Genomic DNA, 27,655 nt, shown 5'->3' on the forward strand with positions numbered 1-27,655 from the left:
TTTCTAAGTTAAGGTATGTACCTTGTTTTTTTAGCCATAATGTTCTTTGACACTTATTAGACTACAGTGTGGTATAAACTTAACTTTTATATGCACTCAGAAACCAAAGAATTTGTGTGGCTCGCTTTATTGTCATATTCATTTATCAAGGTGATCTGGAACCAAACCTGCAATATATCCAAGCTATGCCTATAATACATAAATTATATATAATGTTAGAAAGTAATAAATGTTATGAACAAAAGTAGAGCGCAGTGGGAATCAGAAATATATAAATTCCCTTTCTTGCAGGGGATTTGGTAAAAGAAGTAGAGCTGTGGTCGGGCCCAGACACCATCGGAATTTGTAGGCCAAAGGAAGGGGAATTCACTGATAATTTTGTGTAGGCTGTAGCATGAGCTAACTCAAATGTTTAAAAGATTATTTTCACTGTACTGTAGGGAATAGATAGAAGGTAGGAACTATGAGAGCCACTTGGGAGCCCTTTGCAATAGTCTGTGCAAAAACTGATAGTAGTAGCAGTAGAAATGGTTTAAAGTGAGTAGAGTCAAGATATATTTTAAAGTTAGAGCCCGGGGAACTTATTGATGTTGAAGACAGAGTAAGAAAAAGGATGGCATCAAGAATAGCTTCAAGGTGTTTTATTCAAACAATGAAACAGTAGAAGCTTTTTTTTTTTCTTCTTCTTCTTTTTTTTTTTTTTTTTTTTTTTTTTTGAGATGCAGAAAATGGCAAGAACTGACTTGGGGCTGAGGGAGAGAGGAGTGCCAGAAATCAAGACAGTCTTAATAACAGCCAAAGATCAACCTAAGAATGAAAAGGGAAGCTTCAGCTTGAATTATTTGAAGTTGAATAGTGGTCAGTTTTTGTTTTTTGTAATTAAAGTGGACCTCCTACACCTTGCATCTTCCCCAGCCGTGCTCTCCTGTCAACAACTGTCTGATATCTGATAATAGCTAATCCCTATAGCCTTGCAATTTCAGAATAGGGGGAAAATACATTTAAAAAATTTGATGATTAAAAAAAGATAGTGATAACCAAGCCACTTTCTTGTGGTACTAAACATTTGAATGTAGTCTCTAATGTTATTACTTTTTACTAATTTTAGCTAAATACATTCCATAAAACCAACAACTCCCACTTACTGATTTTCCTGCTCCAAGTTCTAACAATTTTTGTGAAGTCTCTGGGATCTTCTACATATAAGGTCATGTCATCTGTGAAAAGAGAGAATTTTACTCCTTGTTTTCTGATTTGGATGCATCGTATTTCCTTTTCTAGCCTAACTGCCCTGGCTAGGACTTCTAGTGCTATGCTGAATAGAAGTGTCAACAGTAGGCATCCTCGTCTTTTTTTCTGATCTTAGAGAAAAAGCTTTCAGTTTTTTACCATTGAGTGTGATGTCAGCTGTGCCCTTTTCATATACAGCCTTCATTATGTTGAAGTAAATTCTTTCTACACATATATTATTAGGCATTTTTATCAATAAAGGTTGTTACATTTTGTAAAATGCTTTCTCTGTATCTTTTGAGATGACTGTGTGATTTTTTTCCTTCATTTGTTGATATACTGAATCACATTAATTGATCTGCACGTGGTACAGAAGTAGAAAAACAAACTTAGTTTCTCCTACTCTACTTTCATAACATGCTTCTGACACTCATTGCGGGGGGTTCTTCCCCACACATCAAGCAAGCAATCAATTCTTGAGCAGACACTAGCTGTCCTCCAGTACAGTCCTGCCACTATCTACCTAGAGATAGTGTTTCCATGCCCTCTGCAGGCATGCCACCCTCCAGGAACCTCCAAGTGTTCACCTCTCTCTGAACCCAGGTTTTGGGGGTTTGGGGAGAGTGCTGTTACACAGTCATGATTGACTAAATCACCGGCCACTGAAGACCAGCTCAACCTTTAGCCCTTCTCCTCTCCCTGGAGGTGGGGGAGCAAGGATGGGGCTGAAAGTCCCTACCTTCTAATCATGCCTTGGTCTTTCCAGTGACCAGTCCCCACATCCTGAAGCTACATAGGGTAGCCAGTAATCAGTCAACTCATTAGCATAAAGAGATACTTAATACTTTGGAGATTCCCGGATTTGAGGAGCTGTATTCAGGAGACTGATGGAAGACCAAATGTAAGTATTTCACAATACCAAACATGTGGTGAGGCATTCTTGCATCCCAACGACAAATCCCACTTGGTCCTGGTGTATGATCCTTTTAATGACCTGGTGAAGACGGTTTACTAGTATTGTTTTGAGAATTTTTGCATCCATATTTATCATAGATATTGGCCTGTAGTTTTCTTTTTTTGTTATATCTTTATCTAGTTTTTGTATTGGGTTAATGCTGGCCTCATAAACTGAGTTTAGAAGTGTCCCCTTTTCTTCAATTTTTCAGAAGATGAATGTCAAAATTCCATTTGTTTATCAATGATGTGAGCCACTTTTTTGTTGCTGAATCAGATCATTTAATAGTTTTCAGATACAGAATAATATATGTGTTTACTATTATGTAAAGTAATATGTAATAGTGAAAGGCATTAATGCACTTTTAAGTTTATATTTGCAATGTTAACATTTTCTCCATCACTTTCTGAAGTCTTGACAGCTAATAAAATAATCAATCAAGCACTGATTTGTAGTGTTTGCTGATTTCCCTGGGGTAAATACAAACAAAAGTATTTGCACGTTTGGAAGCTGATTTCAAGCTTCCAATGTTTGATATGGAGCCCAGAGATGGGAAGAAATGAGCAGTTTATTTACAAGATGTAAACAACCTCAAAAGCACAGATAATTGTAAATGGAGTAAAAAACTAGAAAGTTACAAGTTTTGAGTATTGCTTCCATTTAATATAATTTAATGAACTATAAGTTTATATAATTGAATAGTTAATATATACTGTTTAACAGCCAACATGTGAATTCCTGAGAATTTAGCAATTGGCTCCTGTGAAATACTACAAGCCAGCTCCAGCACACCATTGTAGCTTGGTCTCCAGAAAACAACTTGTTAGAATTATTTGGAGCCAAATATGGGGAAAGGACCTTACCCTTACTTTCTGCATTCCTCTTTTCTTACGTCTCCCTATGTGCACAAAGGAAGCTACTGTCAACTCTTCAGCTGAATCAAACCCCAAATCCTGAGGCAGGCTTCTCAAGGTCTCACTGAGAACCCATGGCAATCAGGACTCCACTCCCAGCCACCCGGGATTCCAGTAATGAATTTGGGGAGGAAAGATCATCAGTGGTTATCTGCACATCAAAAGTATGCACCCTTTGAAAATATCATGGAATAAACATCTCTGTTGCTGACATCATTAGATGTATCTTTTTGGATTATCAAGGTTTCAGACTTCAGCTTCTTGGCCACTCATCAGTTGCTGCTGTTGGATATATTTTTAGGTTCTAAATATATCTTACAGGGACAATAATATCATCATCTCCTTTGCCAAAGCAGAAGATAACATTTGGCAGTAAACACTGAATCATACGCCTTCCCAGTTCTTCCGAGATTTCCTTTCAAGGCCTTGGCTTTTCCACATAAACAATATCCTGTCTTGGGTTTTCCACAGGAAAACCATCTCCTGCCATCTTGGTGCCCCTCACTCACTTCACCTTCTCAACTGAGAGGCTGAGCATAATACTTACTCCTTGAATAATACATTTGTCTACGTGTTACAGACATATCCCCTGTCACTCAGGAGGTCCTAACCAGAGAGTAATCATTCTGATAGAAATGGGCAAGTAAAGACATATATAGACAAAAGATTAAAATTGTTTGGTCAATACTGGAATCCAGCAATCACACACTAATGGAAGTATCTCAGTTTTTAAGATAATGGTAAAATTATAGACATCTATAATATTTCACATTAAATATAAAATGAGACTTGGTTGGAATCTATCACGTAGATGACATCAAAGAGCTCTCCACTGTAAAAAGTCATTTCTTATATTTGACATCATTTTAAAGTATTCTATGTGCATATATGCCCTTGCCAGCATCTAAAAGGCTTCTATCCTGAGAAATTTCTTTCTTTTTTCTTTTTTTTTTTCCCAGACAGAGTTTCACTCTTGTTGCCCAGGCTGGAGTGCAATGGTGCAATCTTGGCTCACCACAACCTCTGCCTCCTGGGTTCAAGCGATTCTCCCGCCTCAGCCTCCCGAGTAGCTGGGATTACAGGCATGTGCCACCATACCTGGCTAATTTCTTATTTTTGTTGTTGTTGTTGTATTTTTAGTAGAGACAGGGCTTCTCCATGTTGGTCAGGCTGGTCTCGAACTCCCGACCTCAGGTGATCCACCTGCCTCGGCTTCCCAAAGTACTGGGATTACAGGCATAATCCACCATGCCCAGACTATCCTGAGAATTTTCAATGTAGAGCTATTGTTTTATAAGCAAAAATGATCAACATTTATATTTTAATCATTATAAAGCAATACATATTCGATTTGCTTCATTTACAAAAGGCTTCCTGGACTTAGCCCTTTAAAAATGCACGACACTTAATTTTTTTTTAACAAAAAAGCAGAAAAAGATGATCAAACGAAGGATACTGATCCATCAATTACTCCTCAGGAAGACAGGTGGATCATGTGTGATTTTTCAAATGTTTCACCAGATTGTTAAAATGATTAAATGAACAACCTAAGCTCAACTTGAAATCCATACAGATGTGATAGCACCATAACCATTTCTTACCCTCTGGACACTGTAGTATGGTTGCCTCTGGCATCTTTAACTTGGTTGGCTGATAATATTTAATATAAAAATCTTCATGGGGTGTCAATAAATGTTAGCTTTCTACTCCCTTTCTACAATAAAAGCCATTAAATCATGATTTATTACAAAAATGTGACTTGACTGATTTTCCCATGTTATACATCCATGAAATGTAAACATGAAATGCTAATATAAAAGAAAAATACAAGAATATAGATTTTACTGTTAATGGTGCCTATTAAATGTTGGTATAAAAATACCCTAAGAAAATGCAACAAAATATTAATGGTGGTAGTGCCTTTAACTGGAGGGATTAAAGGTGATGTTTCCAAGTTTACATAATGATTGTGAAATACTCCTGGGATAGAGAAATAAAATTTTATTAAAAATATTATTATGTTTAGAGTCAGGGTCTTACTTTGTCACCCAGGCTGGAGTTCAGTGGCACCATCATAGTTCACCGTAACGTCAAATTCCTGGCCTTAAGTGATCCTCCTGCCTCAGCGTCCCAAAATGCTGGGATTACAGGCATGAACCACCATGCCTGACCCAAAAGTTTATTTTTAAAAACATAAATTTTAAAAAGATAACATAATCATATCTCACTTCACTCATTAAACATATTCTAGAAAATGTTTTATAATTTAATTTTTGTTTTTAAAAAGTTCGAAGGCCGGGCGCAGTGGCTCTCGCCTGTAATCCCAGCACTTTGGGAGGCTGAGGCGGGCAGATCACGAGGTCAGGAGTTCGAGACCAGCCTGACCAACATGATGAAACCCCGTCTCTACTAAAAATGCAAAAATTAGCTGGGCCTGGTGGTGTGCGCCTTTAATCCCAGCTACTCAGGAGGCTGAGGCAGGAGAATCACTTGAACCCGGGAGGCGGAGGTTGCAGTGAGCTGAGATTGTGCCACTGCACTCCAGCCTGGGCAACAGAGCGAGACTCCACGTAAAGAAAAGAAAAAAAGTTTGAAAATGTCCCAAAGAAGCTAACTACTCTCCCTGTGTTTTCCCAGCCATGCTGAATTACTTGTAGTTCCCTGAAGCATCATGCTAATTCCAACTCTGTGCCCTAATAGGTGCTGTTGCTGATATATTAGGCCCCTTGCTCTATGTTCCTCATGTAACTATGAGTTTTCCTTCAAAACCTTCCCCAGGAACACTTTCTGAGTTCTCCACTACAATATAAATGCTCATCCTTCGGAGAGATCCCTCAATGAATTTATCAACAGTAAGCACTATCACACTATAATAACTGTGGAAAGTGATTTAACAAAGCACAGTGCCTTCTGAATAAAGAAATGAATGAATGGATAAGCAACTTTGACACTCCCATAACTTAAACAAATGGTTGACCTTTTTGTTTTCTCTCACTTAAGTGACTGGCTGTTTGACTCGAGTAGTAAAAACAAACTAGGTGTCTTGACACCCTAAAAAGGGTGAATGTTATCTACATAAATTCAATCTATACATTTAATTAAATAGTATCATTCAATAAGCATTAACTGATGGCATTGTAAGTGCCAGGTTTGGTGTTAGGCACTAGAACATGGAAAGGAGGAACAGTGCTTCTTTCCTCAACAAACTGAGACTAACAGGAATAGTCAGGCAAATCCACAGTTGCAGTAGTGTTATTAAGTGCAGTGTTGAAGCATGCACTTTCTGTAGCAGGAACAAAAAGGGGTGCTGTGGGGTGTGGGGACAAGCCTTCTTGGTTCCAACACTGTGTTAAACTAAAATGTAGTTGTATTTACAATACAAAGCTTAATAAAGGCTGCACTGGACAATTGCCTAATATCATCAATGTAAATACCCAATGTTATGTGATTAGAATGGGCATAAAAAATAACAAAATCTGCTGTTATTAACAATGATTCCCACTGGAATATTGGAAGACACACTGACTATCACTCACTACAGAAAGTATAGAATTGGAAAAGATAATTTTATGAAGATTTATAAACTTTTAAAACTGGTGTGAAAGTATTATTTCCCAAATTCAGTTTGTAGCTGGGGTGGGGCGAGTAGGTAGTATAAATTTCTTCTTAAATTGTATCATGACAGAGAAGTGTTCTTTAGGATTCCATTGTTGTGGACTAACAAAGTCACTTTTAGATATCTCAAATTTGAACTTTATTGCTCTTCCTATCTTCCAAAGAAATGCACTGAAAAATAAAATGGTCTCTCTACAGAAGAACCAAAAAGCACAAGCAGTTTTTTTTATCCTCACAGCTTTCTGTTTTCAAGCAATTTGGAGTCCCCAGGCGGATTCAAACTCGATCCCCCTTCCACCTCACTCGGGCTCTATGCACTCCCACAGATAACGAGATTGGGTGAGCACATCAGATTCACTTTCCAAAGGCACACTGAAAAATCTTCATGCAGATTAAAAGATTTTTTTAACTATTTCAGCTTCCACATCTTCCAAACTTCTCTTTCTCAAACCATAGAACACTATCATTTGTGCAGAACAACATGAAGATGGGAGGTTATGGTTCCTTCAATTATGTCTGAGAATTAAGACATATGTTATATATTTACTATGAACCTTAAAGAATAAACTGCACCTAGATCTAATAACCATAATTCTAAATAACCTTCTATAATCTATTATATACATAGTAGCCAGATAGACTTCTAAAAACATAGCTCAATCAGCGCTCAAAAATGTGGCACTGATTGACAGTGTATAATTCTCACTCATTAGTTGTGGAATAAAGTCCAAACCGCCGTTCTAGAATTCAAGCTCCTCACAAACTGGCTCCAATCTGCCTTCATTGTTGATTAACCACATGTCCCTTGCAAAATCTACGCTCCATCCCCAAGAGACTCTGTGTTGTTCTCTGAGCATTCAGAGAACTCTTCCACCTCCATGTCTGCCCTCTCACGGTTTTTCCCACTTGACTAACCTTCCTCCCATTTCACCTATTCAAACCTAACTCATCAGAAGCCCTCCTCTCTGAAGCCTGTCTAGATTATCCCACCTGAGAGCAATGTCTCTGTCCTCTACGTTCTCACTCTGCTGGCATACATGTCTCTTGCCACCTCTACCACATCTTGCTCACCTTTGTAAGTAAACCTCACCTTGCTCACCTTTATAAGTAACTGTTGTTAGCACATACTAGGTGTACAACACCACACCTATAAGTGAGTGGCTGAATCTTTTTACAAAATGATTCAGAAGGCATCTCAGGATTATTTCATTTCTCCACATAATCACACATATCGACTACCATTATTTGATAGATTCAGAGGTTGCAAGATATTGGTTGACTATATATTCACTCTTTAACTGATACTAAAAGTTGTTTTAGCCAGTTAATCTCTAATAGCAGCTTATCTGCCACTTATTTGATTCTCATATAAAGAAAGAGTATTAAAAATCTGATGTTTGAATATCCTACTTACATAAATTCAAGAAAAGCAGGGGTTTAGCATATCTGCCACCCTGAATTCAATTATCTACTGCATGTGTTGTCTCTCATGTGTAACCTGGGCCTTGATGCTAAGCCACCCCTCAGAGATTCTTTAAGTTCCAATGTCAGAAAATTTGAGGGTCCTATGGCATAGAATGATAAGTACCAACATGGTTACTACTGAAGATGTTAGTTTGGAAATACTTTTAGATCATGGAGTGCTTAAGTGCTATACAGTCATATCACCAATAGCCTTACCTTTTCCACAAGATTTTTTTTAACAAAATGTAAAATACAGGTACTGTAATTCATGAATTCTCACATAAAGGACAAATAAAAATAGGATCATGAATATTGCTCAGACTTTGAATTTTTATACTGTAATCTAAGAATACTCTGAAGGACACAAATCAAATTGGTAGGGCCAGGAAATAAAATAATTTCTAAATTCTACTAACAGTAAAAAACACAAATATAAATCTTATTAAGGCAGAAAATAAAAAACAAGAGATTTTCACCATTTAGTTTCATCGTTTAAATATCATATTTATTATCATACACTGCAAACTCCCCAAACTGCTTTGATATTTTCCCTTAAAAATAAGAGAGAAAACATGAAGGCATCTGATTTTGTGATAATAGAAAATTTCTTGATAATATGTTTTTGTGGCTATAAGTGCCAATGAATATATCAAGTTCTAAATAATATGCAATGTTTTAAATACCAATGAATGTTGTGACAATTTTTTTCATTTAAATTGTGATGTATGTTTGCAAGATACAGTCTACTTCCTTTAAGCTAGAGAGGCGCCTGTCAGCGCCTGTGGAGGCCTAAGAGGAGGAGGCTTACAACTGCAGTCTTCTCCTTCCTCCCTGACCCCGTTGTAGGAATAAGAAGTAAATCTTCAGTCAGAATCAGCCCATGCACACACAAGCCAGTGGCAAACCTCTGCCCAAGTATTAAAGGATAAACTGGGCAATCAGATTTGAATCTCAAAACTCTGGACTAGGAAATCAGAAGAATGAACTACTGTAAGTCAATGATATGAACGAGTCCAAGAGACAAAGTAGAGGGGGAAAGCTAATCAGTAGAAAACAGGCAGATGAAGATGCCTGGAGAGAAGCAGAGCTGCCAACGGAGAACAGACGCGAGAGCTGTCCGAGGTCCTGATACCCTGAGGTTCTGATTCCAGTCAACCTGCAGACTCACATCTATCCTGAAATGCAACCCAACTCCAATTCCACAGAGTCACAATGTACCTAAATTATTTGGACAGACACAGAAGTCATAATAATATAATTTAACCTACTGATAGGCCCTGTGACAAAAAGGCCTAGGCAAATGGTAATTTTTAAAAGCCCAGTCTGCCTGAGACTGAAGCCCAGCTCTGTCATTTATTACCTCTGTGGCCCTAAGCAAGTTATTTAGTCTCTCTTAGTCTCCAATTTATCATGTTTAAAATGGATATAATAGCAATGCCTCAAAGGGTTGTTATGAGAAATGCGTGAGATGATGAATGTGTAGTGGTTAGCACAGACGGCTCCAATGTTAGACGATGATCAGGAGCATGATGGTGACAACAATGATGATAATTTCCTTTTCCACACGGGCATAGTAGCTCAATAGAGAAATAAATTAGCTTTAAATTTAAACTAACTCTATTTACTTATTACCAGCTTGTTCACTTAAGAAATAGGTAGACTATTATAGTTAAGATTTTAAACCTTAGATGTTTTGCCTTGGAGACAGTTTGGGATGAAAGAAAAATATATAAAAGCAAAAAAAACAAAAAAAAAAGCAACTTTTTACTTAAAACCTAGATTCTTTATTTTTCTTCCTACCACCACAATTGATTCTAAATCTCATGTATAATCCATTTTCTCTGCAAAAAGTATAACTCATGCACTCATTCCCTTCATGGAGACTTTATGAGGGCCTCATCATTGAACTTTCTGTCTTCTAATACGTGTACCCTTTTTGCATTGCATCAGAAGAAAAACTTCTAATTCACAGTCACCTCTAATTAAATACTCTTCTGGAACACACCACTGTCTGCTGAATAAAGACCAGATTTCCTTAGAATGACCATGGCAACTTTTTACAGTCTGATCTCAGTTCCTCAATTCATCCCCTACTCATCCCTACCAGCTTTTCATGGTCCTTCCTCATATCTATTCATTTTCTCTGGCTTTTTTCCTTGCCCAGGATCTTTTTCTGACTTACAGGTCTGGATAAAGACACAAGTTTTTGGCCTAAGTCTTAAGGTTCAGTTCAAAAGCTCTTTCTTAATAAAATGCCTCTTATCTTTATACTCTGACCTAATGATTTTCTTTTCCTTGGTCATAGAGTATTCTGTATTTCTATTAAAAGACATCACATTCTACTATAAAGCTATGGACACATCTTTCCAAAAAAGCAGTAGCTATATTTTAAATAAACAGTGATAAAAAATAATTGTGAAGTTCATAAACAAGGTAACCCTGATATGGGAAAATTGTTGGTAAACACATTTGAAACTATTCCATAGGATGTATTTTAATTCCTCCATGTTCCCATCCACGACCTGACTCTAAGGAGATAAAATAGAATCCTGTTGCTACGGGGGAAACCCAATTATTTAAACAACAAAGATTTTCTCTAGTTCAAGGTGAAAAACTTTCCTAATAAGTTGGTGCTCTTGAGCACAAAAAGATGAAATTAGATATAAGGGGGAGGCACTGAAACCCTTTTCAATGAATTCTTATTGAGCGATCACAGTGATCCAAACTAGCAGAGGATCCTTGTGCCTATTAGTTACACAGAACTCATAGGCCAGGTACTATTTTGCTATTGAATCTGCAGTTTGGCTCTCCACAGTTACTCACGCTAAGCTATAAACATAAAAATGAAAAATGACCATAGGACGGTAAAAAGGGTACTCATATTGATGATATGAGAGGCATCTTTCATGTATGCCTAACACACTGCCAGTCACAGGTGCACACACTTAAACCTGCTTTCAAATAAATCTCTACTGACTTTCACTAGGAAAGGAGAAACGTGTCTGTTGGCAAGAGGTTCTCACTCCATTTGGGTTATTGGCAACTTTTATACAGAGACCATTTGGCAGACTCCATGACATCATGCAGGGATTTTAGATCTGATACTTGTTGTGCATGCATCTCTCATGTTTTAGGACAACATTCTGATCACAAACTATTCTCCTTTTTTTCAGTTATCATCAAATATTGAGACACATACAGAGGGGAAGGGAGGAGGAAGAGGAGGAGGAAATAGAATAAAATATCTGTAAGTCTCTTACAGGAAAATGTAATTTTTCTCACTTCTCCAGGCAAACAGGATGACTTGGAACAACCGTTACATTTTTTCTTTTTTTTCACTATGCTCCTCTGCTCTCTACTCAAGAGGCTACCCTGTTAAATAAACTAAAATACAGAGTGATCGGATCTACTGATAAAACAAAGTAAGCTCTTTGTTGCTTCACCCAGCAAAGGTCACTTTCCCAGTGGCTTTCAGCTTCCCCAGGAAAGTCATAATACTTTCCAAAGCACTCACATTCCCCCGCCTAGGATGTGTACTCAAACAGAGGTGTCTCTAGGAACTTCATCTCCGGTTTCACTACTAATTGGAAAATACTGAGGGACAGAAGAAATCCCTCAGCAGTTTCCTCCTGGGACCCTGGTTGCGTACGTACACCAGCTCCTTAGTGAGATGCAAAGGATGACCACTGTTAACCTGGCTTCCTCTCAAGATCCTCCAGAAAGAATTGGATAAACCATAGGCTACCTTCTTGCTCTAAATAACCTCCTCTTCAATTTTCACATCAGCTTATTAAAGGTAGAGAATCCTCCAGCTATACCACCTGCTTTCTTTGTTTCTCCGTGTATCAGTAGGCCTGTCTACAACAGCATTACCAAATTGTGTGTCTATTTATTGTCTGTACTTCACCTTGTTCTTTAAAAACTGTGTTTAATATTTACCTACATTATTATTTGCCCTATGTTTTATCTTTTAAAAACATGGAACACCAATTAGAAAGACACATTAAATGTCAACAATTAGTAAATTTCAGAGAATCAAAAATAACAGTAGAAAAAGTAGGATTAAGCCAGGTGTGATGGATCACACCTGTAGTCCTAGCACTTTGGGAGGCAAAGGTGGGCAGGTCGCTTGAGCTCTGGAGCTCAAGGCCAGCCTGGGCAACATGTTGAAACCCATCTGGCACACACCTGTAGTCCCAACTACTCAGGAGCCTGACGTGAGAGGATCACTTGAGCCCAGGAGGTTGAGGCTGCGGTGAGCTGAGATCATGGAACAGCTCCCCAGCCTGGGTGACAGAGTGAGACACTGTCAAAAAAAGAGAAAAAAAATTAAGAAAGAGAGAGAGAAATAAGCAGGAAGGAAGGAAGAGAGAGAGAGAGAGAGAAGAAAGGCAGGAAGAAGGAAGGAAGGAAGGAAGGAAGGAAGGAAGGAAGGAAGGAAGGGAGGGAGGGGAAAGGAAGGAAGAAGGAAGGAAGGAAGGAAGAGAAAGAAAGAAAGAAAGAAAGAAAGAAAGAAAGAAAGAAAGAAAGAAAGAAAGAAAGAAAGAAAGGAAAGAAAGAAAGAAAGAAACACACAGACTAAGATCAAGCCATAGGTACAGGTAGGTAATTAGAAATTAGAATACCTGCCATGTAGGCCCTTATACTCTGTTAGAGGCAGGCCATAGATATCAACTTCTGAACCTCCTGGTGTTTAAGGACACATGCCTATAGGAAATATAGCACCTGAAATAAACTTCATAAAACTGTTTATTATGAATGTTTTCATATTGCAATGATGAAGGCAATGAACTAAATAGCCTAAAGAGTAAAAACATGTTATTATGGGATTCCTTATTAAATAATACATAACAGGCAAGAAGAAAAGCCAACAGCATAAGTTTTCATAATTCAACCAAGTATAGGGACATCAGTTGTTACTTGAGCTCCATCATGTGTCATTATTATAATGACAGAAGTAGCAGCATCAAGAACTAGATCCCCACAATACATCTGTCTGAGAGCCTGTATCATTCATTGCCAAATGTGATAAGAATGTGAAAGAATGCTACACTGATAATAGTTTTCATGGTGGAAAGAAAAGAAAAGCCATTAATCCAGAGCAAAAGTTAGAAATAATCAAGAATAAACGTATGTAGGTATGTTAAGGTTTTATGACTATACATTTACAGATGTTTTTTAAACTCTTATTATTGAAATTCCTACAGGAAAAATAGCTATAATTACAGATCTAAATTATCCTTTTTCCCAATACAATAATTATGCTTAAAACTCAATTTTTGATAGAAAAAGGCTTCTTAGAGTACAGCTACCACATTCTAGTACAGACTGTAAAATAAAGTAACCATATTTTCAAAGCAGAAATAACATATGGCTTGAAAAATAATATATGAATTTGGAAGTTTGTTTTTATAAAAGAGTACAATTTATGTACATATTAAATTACATTTGATTTTAGATTTAATGGCTTTTTGGAAAATTTTTATGAAGTCAGGATTGTTACAGGAAAATTTGGAATGTAGATTTTGCTAGAGGTGGATGCTCTTAAGGACTGTTTAAAAAAAAGGTCTCACCCAAGTTTTTCATAGGAATCTATTCCTGTTCACATTTTTTTGATATGTGGTAAGGGATTGTATTTGGAGTCAGGGCTTTGCCACTGGCTAGTAACCTTGTTCCAATCATTTAGCTTCTAGAAAGTTTTATCTCCACATATGTAAAATAAAGGAAGACCTGGTCCACTGCATGCCTTACACTTTTGTGATGCTGTGGACTTTTGAGAAGAACACTGCTCACTTGTCCACTTTCAGCCACAGTACAGCTGCTTAGCTACAAGAAACTACAGGCCCAGCTCCACTCCTAACATGGGATTCATATCTGTCCTAGTGGACTGGAAATCAAGTCTTTGTGCCAATGCAAACTCACATAACCATACTCTGATGGCCAGCACTTTGACCAGGTTAATTTAACCTGTCTAAATTTTCACCTTCTGCCTGCTCACTCCTCTAATTTTCACCTTCCCATGACCAGCTGGTATCATGGCTGTCTGTTTTGGTGACTGACAGCTAGGGACTCCAGCATGGTTTTTTATCTCCTAGGCATGGCTACTATCTGGGATGCTTGCTCTAATACCTTACACTGTCTTCTTGTAACACAGTTTCTTAAGGCTTGTGTCTCTATAGAAACATGTCAGAAAATGCTATCTTATTATCCCTACCCCCAAATAAATCTACAGTGGGGTCATTTCATTTATGAAAATACTCTGGAAACAAAGTTGATGCTCAGGCAACTGGTCTACCAGGGATAGCATGATTTTTTTTTTCTTCTCTGCAATACCTATGCACAAACTTGTATCTAGAAATCAACAATAAATGTGAAATGGAAGTCATTACCACTCACCGTCACAAATAATGTTTTCTTTCATTTTCCATATGGGCAACATAAAGGAGTGAAAATAACCATTGCTGTTATGCACTTGGTAGGTTTCCATCTAATAAAAAGCTTCATATCTGTAAAATGCCAATAACATTCAGTCTATCCTTCCTCATTTCCAACTTCGAGATCTCATTTATCCCCTACTGTTTTCAGGGGTTGACTGAACTTGTATCCACACCAAAACCTTCCATGCCCAAGATACTAGTGAGTTACAACCAATAAGTATTAAGAGAATTACAGAAATTTTGCATATTTACTTTGACAGGATACAAAGATACTATCATTAGAAAAGTGAGAAAAGTCTGTTTGAGTGGGAAGAAAAGCATTCTGTCAATAAGATCAGAACATGTACAATAGTCAGTTGGTTGCTTACGGAGTTTAAAATTTCCAAATGCTTTAGAGCCCAGTTATACTGCCTGGGAGTCTTCAGAGATGGGATACCCATCACTAATATTAATATTGATGGTAATAAAACCTGTCTCCTTCCAGCATTACCCTACACAAAAGAGTTCTTCTTGTGATAATGCAATGAAGCGCTAATCCTCTACAAAGGGCTCGGTGATATCAGAATACCATACGTTCCCTTTAATGTTATTCCATAATGACCATAAAGTGCCTAATTGTCAATAACCACTTAAGAAACAGGTTCTCTTGGGTCCTTAAGTGCTGGATAATGTGGTGCTGTCCTCAGTACCAGGTAAAAGGAAGATTTTTTTTAGCTCTAGGAACTTAGGTGAAATCCTGGAAACATTTGACAATGTTTCTTGTGTGCTGCTGGTGGATGGATCATAGATATAAAACATACATGATGGTTTATAACTAGGCTTTCCCATTGTATAGCAGCAAGTGCTAATCAATAAGTCAATAAAAACTTGATGGCAATTTTTCTTTGTTTTTTTTTTGTTTGTTTGTTTTTTGTTTTTTGTTTTTGAGATGGAGTCTCGCTCTATCGCCCAGGCTGGAGTGGGTGGCGCAATCTTGGCTCACTGCAAGCTCTGCCTCCTAGGTTCAAGCCATTCTCCTGCCTCAGCCTCTCGAGTAGCTGGGACTACAGGTGCCCGGCACCACACTCGGATAATTTTTTGTATTTTTAGCAGAGACGGGGTTTCACTGTGTTAGCCAGGATGGTCTCGATCTCCTGACCTCGTGATCCACCCGCCTCAGCCTCCCAAAGTGCTGGGATTACAGGCGTGAGCCACCCCGCCCGGCCCTTGATGGCAATTGCTAACTCAAGTGAGGGCCCATAACTCTCTCATCTGATATGACCTGCTATTAGTGGTAGATGTCACACATCTGAGGGTGAAAGGGAATATACCACATGATCTATCAGATTCAAAAAACAACATGATGAAAAGCCAAATTGAATTTAATAACATGTAATTAAGTAGATTTATGTATAAAGCCAGTGTGTGGGTTTAAATAACCCATCACTTGAAGACATACCAGTTATACAGAAGCTTATCTGAAACAAACCTGAAGTCTCCCTTTGACTGCAAGCTCAGTGTGACCTGAAAGTGTAACGGGGACAATAAAACAATGAAGCTCTTGAAAACACTCATGCATTAACAGAATTAGAGTATCCAGAAAGTGGGTTGTAAAAGTTCCACTGTACACTCTATTAGTCAAGCTACCCCTATAGCTATATTTGTTTATGGAAACTCTCTTCCACCCTAGAATCTAAAGGCATATATTCTTCCACACCACACAGCAAAATAAAACGCTGTTTCTCAACAGACTCTGGGGACTCCAACAGCAGGGAGGGAGGTGTCAGGGGCAAGGGTTGAAAAACTACCTATTGGGTACTATGTTCACTATTTGAGTGATGCTTTCAATAAAAGTCCAAACCACAGCATTATGCAATATACTCATGTAACAAACCTGCACACATACCCCCTAAATCTATTTTTAAAAACCCTGTTTGTATTTACATGTAACATTGATTTTCATTGGTCCATTAGTACATCTCTATTTAGCTTGACTTTTCCATGATTCCTATATTAAATGTGTTCTTCAGTAGAATTTTCCTTCTATTTATTTAAACTCTTTGTTCCAGCAAATGTCAAAAGCCAACTAAAGAGGCACTTTAAAGATGCTGCCAACTTCAGATCCTCTCTATCAAAAATGGAAGAAAGTCTAATTTAAGAAAGAGGGTATTTCCACTCACCCATTGTGCTGCTGATTATTGAACTGGAAGTAACCACAAGGTCTGCAAAACCTCTGAACTTCATTTTGAGGAAGAAGAAATGCTAGTCAAAATTTACTTAGAATCTATTAAATTTAAAGTATTATAATATAATGATTGAAAGAATGGACTTAAAAAAAATCTAGGTTTGAATCCTGGCTCTGCTACATGCAACTTAGCTTTGGCATGTTCCTTAACTTCTCCAAATCTGTGAGTAGTTTAAGGATTAAGTTATTAATATATAGTATATGTAAAGTGCTTAGCATAGTGACTCACATATGATAAAGGTACAATATAGTTTCACTATTATGTTGCTGCCATTGATATTATATTATTATTATTACTTATTCACTTGCATACTGTGAGACAAAGTTTAGACTTGAGATTTAGCAATTGTGTTTGTTACTCTAGTTCTGTATTTACTTACTAGTTACACCTAATGCAGTATTTCTAACAGGAGGAATGTAAATAAGCCACTCTTCAGGGGTAGAGCTCTTGACAATTTTACTGTCAGCTGGAAATTTGACCAGGAATGTTTCAGAGAGAAGCAAAATGAGCAATACAGCTTCTATTCAGATATCCAGAGTTAGGGAGGCGTAAGGTGATTATTCATTCATTCACAGCAGAAAGATGTATGGTAATGCAGAGACGAAAAATATCAGTGTCACTAGAGAAGCATCAATAACATGCTGAGGGATTTCAGCAGATACAGGAGGAAACCTGCTGGCCTGGGAATGTTTAATTTGTAATGGACTAAGAGAACAATCGAGTTTCCAAAATTGTACTTTGGCTACTTCCATTGCTGAATTTCCTTTCCAGCCACTGCCCCCTCGACCTCTGTTACAGTCTTTACATTTTTATGAGGTTGACTTTCAAACATTTATTCCAAAGAGCACCGTGTAGTTTTTAAAAGTAATCATGCAAGGAACAGTAATGGAAATCGTAAGCACAGGACTGGAGTTAAGTGAAGCATCAGCCAGTTAGGGGCTGTCTAGAGGAGGCCCACAGGAAGGATAATGGATCTGCAAACCACATCATGTGACATATGATTAAATGAAACAGAAACATTAATCCTGGAAAAGAGAAGGCTTAGGGAGGCCATGATTGATGTTTTGGTGTAGGTGACGTGATCTTGTGTGAAAGGAGATTAGATATCCTATGTAAATCCAGAAATGTACATTAGAACCATGGGAAAGAATGCCAGAAAAATAGATTTTATATTAATGTAAGGAACTAATTTATAATCGTTTGAGGTGTCCAACCAAGACTTCCTCCTGAAGATGTGGACTCCTTCCCACTAAAAGAAGTCATAGAGAGGGAGAAAATTCTGGCATGCGGGAGAGGGAGGACTGAATGAGACAACTTCCGCGGCCCCTTCACCATCTAAGAGTCCATGAAGTATCTAACACAACGAAACATTTCCTTTTTAGAGAAAACCTAATTAATTGTGGAAAGCTGTTAGGAAAACTTGATTGTGTTTTATATCTCCCATCTGCATATCTGTAAGCAAACCAAAAGCAGAAACTTACTGGCAGCTTCACCTTCTTTGGCGAGTTTAGTATTGTCAATACAGTAAAGCCTCTCAATTCTGCATGCAATTTGACATGAACAGAAGGAAGAAAAAAAATTAGAATTCCACCTTCAGAACCACCTAGGAGGGTGTCTGACATTGAACAGGTAATGAACAATGAACAGGACCATTTCCCCAGCAGCCTTTGTTTTCCCTGCCACCTGCAAGGGATGGACAGTTTTATTTCACAATGATGAACAGTGATGTCGGGCTGAGCCCTCCACTCTGTCTCAATTCACTCCCCACCTGGAGGGAAAGGGATAACAAATACAAGGTCTTATTTTGTTTTTGAAGGGTCTTTCAGGGACAGGAAAAGCAGCTGTTGTAGTTTAGAACAGACTTCAAAAGCAGATCAATAGAGAGCCAGACCCAGGTGCTCCTTAAAGGCATCGACTGCTACAATATTGTCATTTGCCTCCCTTAGCTTTCTCTACCACTTTCCTCTCAAGCCCTGCTAGACTACTGGTTTTGATAGAGTAACACTCTGTTGTGAGATGGGATTGTTTAAATGAGAGAAAGTTCACATGTGGAAATCTGCCATGGGGAATCTAGCAGTAACTAGATATGTCCCATTTGGGTCATTCCAATTTTTATTTCAAGTCTGTTAGAACAGATGTATTCAAAATGACATCTAGATAAGGCCAGGCGGATAAGAAGAGACTTCAGCTGGGACAAGAACTACTTTGTGAGTTAGAAAATTGGGTTCATGTTTCCATGTTTATAATCTTGGCTAAGTCTGTAACTGATATTCCTCATCTACCATATACAATGAGGACTGCTGTGAGGACTAAAAGGAAATAATATCTCTGGAAACACTATGTAAAATCCAAAACACTGTGTAAGTCTTAGATACGGCACTCTTTTACTACACATAATGGTCATGGTTTGACTGAAATCTCAACAATTTTACAGCGAATTAAGGGAATTCACTGTATTTTCTTATTTTCATTAAGGATATTAAAACTATTTATATAGATAATATACTCTATTAGCAAGATTATTAAAAAGCAATTTTTAGCTTTAGATATCTTCTCCAGTACAAAGCTTTTCTCTTTATTTTTGCATCTTAGTTGTCTCTTCTTAACAGAAAAATGATCCTTTGTATTTCCGTATGTTAATAAGTTTCTGTGAAAGTTAGATGACTTCCTTACAAATAGTAATTAATATTATTGTAATAGCAATTATAATATTATAGTTTTATAAACATTGGTGCTGTGATGTCAAACCAGATTAATATATTGATCTGTATATACATATATATAGTATATACATACATATATGTATATGTATATGTATATATGTATACTCTTGAAAGTATTTTAGTACTCCGTCGCTTCCCCAAAAAGGTAAACTAGATATTAAAACTCTACCTAGGATAAACAGATAATGGACAAGAAGAGTAAAAGCTTTTTCACAATTCTTAGCTTCTGCACTGAAGTTATGAAGATCGTGGTTAACTAAAAAGTTAAAAATCTTTTTCCCATAAAGAGTAATCAAGATTTCCACTAATCACAAGGCCGGTGGTTGAAATAGCAAGATTCATCCTCAGGCTTGCACTTTCTTGTTGCTGGAGAGCAATGGGGATGGGGAAACTCTCGGTACCACGGTCCTGGGATTGGCTGGGTCATAAAGATCATTCCACAACATGGGATTCTTTGATCATCTCAGTGATACTCCCCCCAGCCTCAAATGCTCAGGGCCTCTGAGCCAGTCCACCTCTCAGAAGAGGAAACCTAATATCCCGCAGGGGCCCATTCCACAGTGAAAGGCTGTTAGTTGGAAAGTTCTTTTTACCTTGCAGGGCAATACAGTGGGAAGGGACTATCCAGTAAAACTCCTCCAAAACAGTAGTAACCACTCAATTCATGAAGTTCTCTTTCTATACTGCAGTTTTCTAAAGTAACATAAAAATATCCATGGATTTTTCACTTTCCTTTGAATGCGGTGACCATTCCTTACCTTTACCAAAGAAATTGCAAGAAAAAAAATAGAAAAAAAAGAGCATCTCTTGGCAAAAGGTCCCATCAGTAATTCTAGTTATAGAATCCCTTCAAGAATCATTAATTGTGTTACACTACAGAATAAACCAAATATTTATTTCTGCAAGCATCATTAAATTATGACATATTAGAAGTCATTAACAATCAGCAGGCAAGGGCACTGGGTTCTGCCAGTTTAATGTTCTGAACAATCAAAAATAATATCCATGGGGCAATTAATTTCCTGCACATTGATTATTCCAATCTCCACACTAATAAGTGGGGCTAAACCAAGTAAAATCAAAACAGCACAGCAAAAAACTGCAGACTGATCCCACTTGTAAAGGGGAGTCTGTAACCTTGACAGATGAATTGTATTTCCTAAGTTATAGGGGGAGAGGAGGAAGTTATTCCAGCACCCTAAATGGTATCTTGAGGAGCTAGCATGATCCTTACATCCACTATACCCCTTTCACACACAGAGATACATGCACATTTCACAAATGTAAGAATTAAGATTCAACAGATTGTCCAAATCAAGCCCCTAGTAATAATGTCGGGACCAGGATCTTTGGATTAGTTCTATGTACTTTCCACTCTGTGGGCAATTCAATGGATGTTTAATGATTCTGGAATTGGAGAAAAAACAATTTCTATTAATTCAACAAGTTCCACAGCAAACTGCAAAACTGCCACTTTTCTCTGGGTTTGAGGAACTACTTATTCATAAAATATTAGTCAACCAATGTATCAAATCTGTTGTTAAAATGTTATCCAGAATTCTAACCCTTTCTTCCTTCATACATTCTTTAATCTGTCAGGCATTTAATAAATATCCACTAAATTTATCAAGTGATGTGTTAGGTCCTATTGGAACACACAAAAATCACAAAAAGATCCTGTTCTTAAAGAGCTCAAAAGATTTTAAAACACACACACACACACACACGCAGAGTGATGTGCTGGTAGATGCTCTTCATCAACCAGTTTTCCAGGGGCTGCAGGAGAAGCCTTGATTTACAGCATTTGCCACTTCCCATGATACAAATACTCCAACCATGGCTAATTTCAATTTTTCAACATCAATATGGGGTTGTGGATTCAGGGAGATATTAAAAACTGTCTAAACTGGCTCTAGTGCACCACTACTGATACACTGCTGATATGAGTGTGTGTTTCACTATATAAAAGAACTAATCAAATATTTTAGAGTTGTTATGTTAGAGTAGTGTGATTATGATTGCTTCTTCTTCTTCTTTTTCCTTTTTTTTATAGCATCCAACATTTTTTATGAAGAAGACTTTTTTTAAAGATAAGTACTAGTAGCAAGATTCTTATCCCAGACCACTTTTTCTACATAGCCTTGGTATAACCAAAATTATCTGAGGAGTAGAGAGGCTAAAATATTTTGATGGCACATCAGATTCGCTTTAGAGCCACATGTCCCAGTAGAACTAAGAAAGGAAATGCTGCAGAGAGTGTCCAACTTCTAAGAGGCATCATCAGACTTCATTTAGCACTAAGTCTTCCTGAGCCCCACCTATGTGACCATATGACCACCTAGATCTTACAAAATATATTTGCAGAGCATGCCACCTCCACACATTCTTAAGATTTTGAAATATTCAATCATAGGATGTATGTGAAAGAAGGGGAGGAAGTAGAAACTAAGAGAAGGATAATCCCTAAAACATAGGAATCCAGACAGAAATATTATTGCTTCTGCAGAAACCCTAGGACAGGATTGAATGACTCACCACCTGTTTGGTTTTATGGTTACATTTCAACAGTGTCTGCAGCTGTAACTCATGCTTCCTCCTTCGGCTTTCTTAACACACAGATGCACTCTGTTTTGGAACCAAACATCTTTGTCCCATTCCAGAAACTCTTTTCTTTCTTAGGACTATATGAATGATTAACCCTGTAATCTTCAAGGTTATTTATTATCATTTTTAATGTGAAGAAGTGGAAGTTTTGTGGAGGGAAAATAAAACGCCTTATTGCTTGCATAACATTTTAACATTTATGAAACAATTGCATGTAACTTATCACAGTTATCACAATAATCCTCTGGAATAGGATATTCCTGGCACCTTCATATGTGAAGATAAAGAGGCTCAGAGAGTTTAAAAGACTCACTCAAGTTCACAAAGCCACAGAGTGGTCTCTCACTGCCTTAAACACATGGGCTTCAGAATCCATATTCCAACCCAGTAGGGAAGTAGCTTGGTATAGTTTAGAGAAAAACAAGATGTGGAGTTAGGCAGGCTAGATTTCAAATCTTGACACCACCATTTTCCATCTGTGTGATCTTGGGTAAAATCCTTACACTTTCTAGGCCTCATTTTCCTCATTTGTAGCATGGAGAGATGACACTCACCTTACTGGACTGTTAGGAAAATCAAACAAAATAAAATTTGGCATAAGATGGGTTCTCAAAACATTTCTTTTCTCTTTTCCACCATTCTGTACTCCATTGTTCATGCCTCTTGTCCTTGTATCATCCTTAGTTCAAACATACTCATTTTGTTTCTTGCCCTGACTCAAACGGCCTCTCCAGTTGAACAACCAGAAGTTGAACAATCATTTAATGGACAGTGTGTTCTACCAGAGTATATTGCTGTAGCAAGAATTAGACCCCACACAATTGGGAAATCAGGGAATCACTGCAGTCTAACATGGAAGCCCCACTGGTTCCTGCACAATTTTTCTTAGCATACTGTATGTTGTGCCACCAAGACACAGCAGCTCAACACAAAGTACACACAGCTAGGAGGATGGACAAGTCATGCAGAGATACAGTACTGAATGTGCGGCCCATTATACCACGCTCTTCCTCTTGGCTCCATCTCACTAAATGCACGGTTTCCAAAGTATTTATTGCACACTTCAATGCACAAAACACACAAGCAAACACTCAAGAAGGAGCCAGAACCGTTTTATACTAAGCCTGTCACTGCTCCTCCACCTGCAAATTCTGGTGCCAATGCTCCTCTGACTTCATTTTCATAACTCAGGCAACTCAGTACTTCCGTACATACTCTTCCACCAACCTACCTTCCCCTTCAATTTGAAAGGTAAACTCTTTTATTTACTGGATTATTTATTTGCAGGGACATTAACATGTTCTTATAATTGTGCTAGTATTTTCCATAAGCTCACTATTGTTTTGGTTAGTGTTTAATTATAACATTAAATGTTTTGAGTGTTTAAAATGTTTTGAGTAATCTGTTCCAATTCTATTTTCCTCAAAACGTCAGTTATTTTTAGTGAGTGATTTTTCAGAATGTGAGATTTTTAAAAGGAATACATGCATTATGTGATGGCAAGAATGCTCATATTTTGCTTTGTTGTGTAGCTATTTTTTATATATTGAGGTGCCACAAATTGATGTGCTTATTTGACTCTGTTAAAATCCAACTCAGGAGGAACTCATCTCCATGGTTAAGAATGTACAATTTCCACCAAAGATAGTACCGAGGGGGGAAATTCATACTACTTTTCATAAATATGCTAAACCAAATGATTCTAAACATAAAATAGTGTATCCAATATAGCATTGAAATAAATCTATCCAGTACTGGCCTATCTCTACAACTTTAAGCAGCTTTTGCTTTATTATGTAAAAGCATTCCATTTTTAAATCAGCTAAACTTCCAAGCAAGCAAAGACATTACAAGAAAAGATTCTTCAGCTACAGAACCTGTCACATGAGGAACCAATTTCCAGGGTAAGAAAATAAGCTCAAATATTTTAAAAAAATGTTTCTTCTTACCCCTAGCATACTGAGCTGGCAGTATAATGAATCAGAACATTTTCATTTGCATTTATTCTTTGACATGGGCAAATGACAACCTTTCCAGGCTTTCACTGTAGGAAAATGGCAATTTTAAAAACTTGAATAACTATCCTATTAATTTTATGAAGTTGTTATAAGAGATAATATATAGTATATTATATACAAATATATGTTTATATCTTATATATTAAATATATATATGTATACTGGAAATTACTTGTAAATCTGTTTACCCTTCAATCTTGAGACTGTACAGTACTCTGATAAAGAACATATTATCATCATCACTGATTCCTTATCCCCAGCCACTTTTAGCAAATTGCCTTGCACATATTAATTTTTTTTAAGTTCTGTGATACACATGCAGGATGTGCAGATTTGTTACATAGGTGAACGTGTGTCATGGTGGTTTGCCGCACCTATCAACTCATCACCTAGGTATTAAGCCCAACATGCATTAGCTATTTATCCTGATGCTCTCTGCCCCCCAACCCCAACAGGCCCCAGTGCGTGTCGTTCCCCTCCCTGTGTCCATCTGTTCTCATTGTTCAGTCCCACTTATAAGTGAGAACATGCAGTGTTTAGTTTTCTGTTCCTATGTTAGTCTGCTGAGATTGATGGCTTCCAGCTCTATCCATGCCCCTGCAAACGACATGATCTCTTTCCTTTTTAAGGCTGCGTAGTATTCCATGGTGTATACACACCACACTTTCTTTATCCAGTCTATCACTGATGGGCATTTGGGTTGATTCCATGTCTTTGCTACTGTGAATAGGCCTTGCATATAATAATTATTCAATAAATGTTTGCTACATTAAATTGAACCATATGCATAATCAAAGTCAGAGTCTCGCTGTTAAGTTGTTTAAAGGACTAGATTTATTCCTAGAGAGCAAATAGATTGTTCTTAAAAGGCACTGGCTATGGCTGTTGAATTGGTTAAAATTCAGTTTGGATGCAAGTGACAGAAAACACAGATTGTAATATCTTAAAGAAAGTATAAGCTAATTTTTCTGTAGCAAAGAAGTTTATGTAGGCAGGTCAGGTATGGTGACCCTGTAATCATCAGGGACCATTGTTGTTCTACCGTCATAAACTCTCAGCTTGTATCTCCTGGCCAAGATGATTGCATTCTGGCCTGCAAGAAAAACAAAAGAAAAACAAGAAAGGTGCATGCCCTTTTTTTAAGAGCGCTTTCTGAATATTACATCCCAGCTGTTTGCATCCCATTGGCTGGAATATATTATCTTGCCATGCCTAGCAGTGTAGGAGCCTGGGAGCTATAATCTTTATTCTGATGGCCATGTTCCTAGATAAATGGTTAGTGCCATTACTACAGAAAAAGAGGGAAAAAATACCAAGGACAGAAAGGTTTATCACAGTTTCATAAATTGACAGTGAGCTTTGAGTCAAATCAATACAGAGCAAGTAAATTAATTTGTTTCTGATAAACTTTCAGGGCAAGACCATCACATGTGTTTTAAGGATGTAGATAATTCTAGTTAATGAGGAGAGTTAGAACCTATTTCCAACAGATAAACTTCTTTTGTTGGAATCCATTCAAATTCCCATCCCTAATGATCTATACTAAAACTTAATACTAAGCCACACCACATCGATTAAAAGAAATATTATGAAAAGAATGCATAATTGCCTGAGACTAAGATATCAGGTGAAAGGAGAGAGCTGGTTGTAATAATCTTTTCACACAAAACCAAGTGAATGGTAACTTTTTTGGTTATAATCAAATACATCTCTCTTCTTACCCTCAGAATAGAGGGAATGCTGTATAGTCACTAATGCTGTCCAAACTTAAGTGCATTGGGAATAAAAGGATGGGGAGACTAAACAAAGCCAAAGAAATAAAATAATAATAATAAAATAATTCTGAGAGCATCTGGGATATTCCTTAAAGAATTTATAAGATTCTTCAGGAGATATGGGTAGCTTGCCCCATCCGAAAACTCCAAAAACAGTTATTTCATAGGTCTAAAACAACTAAAACTGAATTTATTTTCACTGTACTATTATCTTAGTATTTTTCTTAATTACGCTTCATCACTATCATCACCCAAAAGGGTCAATTATTGAGGTTTCATTCAAACTAAAACCCTGAAAACTAAGGATGGAAAGATAAGAATAAGCAAAAGATAAGAGAAACATTCAAATGGAAAGAAGATAAAAGAAAAATAAATTAGAAGAAAAAGAAAATACTAGATAGTGACTCAGAGAAGTAGAGGCTGAATTTGGAGGAAAATAGGAGAAGTAAGAAAGTAAAGGAGAGAGAGATGAAGGCAAGAGCAAAAACACTAGTGACAGAAGGAGTTACACACAAAGAAAACAAAAGGCAAAGAGGATATTTTAGCAGGGAGATAGAAATCCTCTTACAGGATGGGACTGCCAGGGAAATCTCTGAAACGGGAGGCACCATCTAGGCAGCATTATTCAGTAGGAGAAACTGTTCAAATTTAACCATCGTTTGGAGGACATCAAGCCCTATTTTTGTGTGATCCTGATTTTCCACATTAAAACACAGAAGCTCATGGAGATATTCCACCCCATTTACACAATCACGAAATCGTAGAAATGGTTTGGTTTCTTCTGTCATTGAATTTGATCCTTACAACACCATCGTGAAGCAGAAATTATTATCCCTACTTCCCATGGAGGCTCAGAGAGAGAAACTGACTTGTCCAAGATTATCTTGAACAATGTGAGTCCCAGGTCTGCAACTTACTCGGTGTGTTGTGGAAAAGTCACTTAGCCTCCATAAAAATCATCTGTAAAGTGAAAATAATTAATAACAAGTCCACAGGTTTTCACATATAAATGGGAATATATATACGTACATGTAAAAATACTTGGTAAAATGAAAAACATAATTTGTCATATTTACTAAAACTAAAATGTTCAGTGTAAAAGGCTACAGGGAGTTACATGCTGCTAGTCCTTTAAACTATTAGGATTGAAAATGATGGAAAAGGAGAAGGAGAAGAAGGAAAAGGAAGGAAGAAAGGAAGTAAAAAGGAAGGAAGGAGAGAGGGAAAGAGAGAAAGAGAGGAAGACAAGGAAACAGACCAACCCAGTAACAACGGCTAACACTGTGCATTATTGTGTGCCAGGCCCTGTACTAAGTCTTTGCTCATTTAATCACCATAGCAACTCTAAGACGCAGGTACTATTATTACCCCAGTTTGCAGACAGGGAACGTGAGCCTTGAAGAGGTTTAGTAACTTGACCAATTTATACAGCTGGTTAGCGAGAGAGCCTGGATTCAAATCCACACAGGTACAAGTAGACACTCTTCAACTCTTTTTTTTTTTTTTTTTTTTTTTTGAGACAGGGTCTCACTGTCACCCAGGCTGGAGTGCAGTGGTGCAATCTCAGCTCACTGCAACCTCTGCCACCCTGGTTCAAGCAGTTCTTCTGCTTCACCCTCCGGAGTGGCTGAAATTACAGGCCCGTACCACCACACCTGTCTAATTTTGTATTTTTAGTAAAGATGGGGTTTCACC

General features: G+C 37.5%; 1 protein-coding gene across 20 annotated transcripts in view, besides 1 other annotated feature; it reads right to left on the minus strand.

Moving 5' to 3' along the window:
• Window positions 1-27,655, minus strand: part of RGS7 (regulator of G protein signaling 7) — a 582,489-nt gene that overhangs the window by 539,677 nt on the left and 15,157 nt on the right. For 2 of the 20 annotated variants that reach the window (NM_001350114.2, NM_001350116.1), the window contains one exon: window positions 1,146-1,217. The exons of the other annotated variants lie outside the window; for them this stretch is intronic. The gene's annotated coding sequence lies outside the window, so the exon portion shown is untranslated. The remainder of the gene's footprint in view (window positions 1-1,145; window positions 1,218-27,655) is intronic. 20 annotated transcript variants of the gene reach the window in all.
• Window positions 9,188-9,388: a silencer, noted in NCBI's record as "peak795 fragment used in MPRA reporter construct". NCBI's record gives its function as "represses an SCP1 promoter by STARR-seq MPRAs in K562 erythroleukemia cells {active_cell/tissue: K562}" and the evidence as "EXISTENCE:reporter gene assay evidence [ECO:0000049][PMID:32103011]".

This window comes from Homo sapiens, chromosome 1 (genome assembly GCF_000001405.40).
Source record: "Homo sapiens chromosome 1, GRCh38.p14 Primary Assembly".
Classification (NCBI taxonomy): Eukaryota; Metazoa; Chordata; class Mammalia; order Primates; family Hominidae; genus Homo; species Homo sapiens.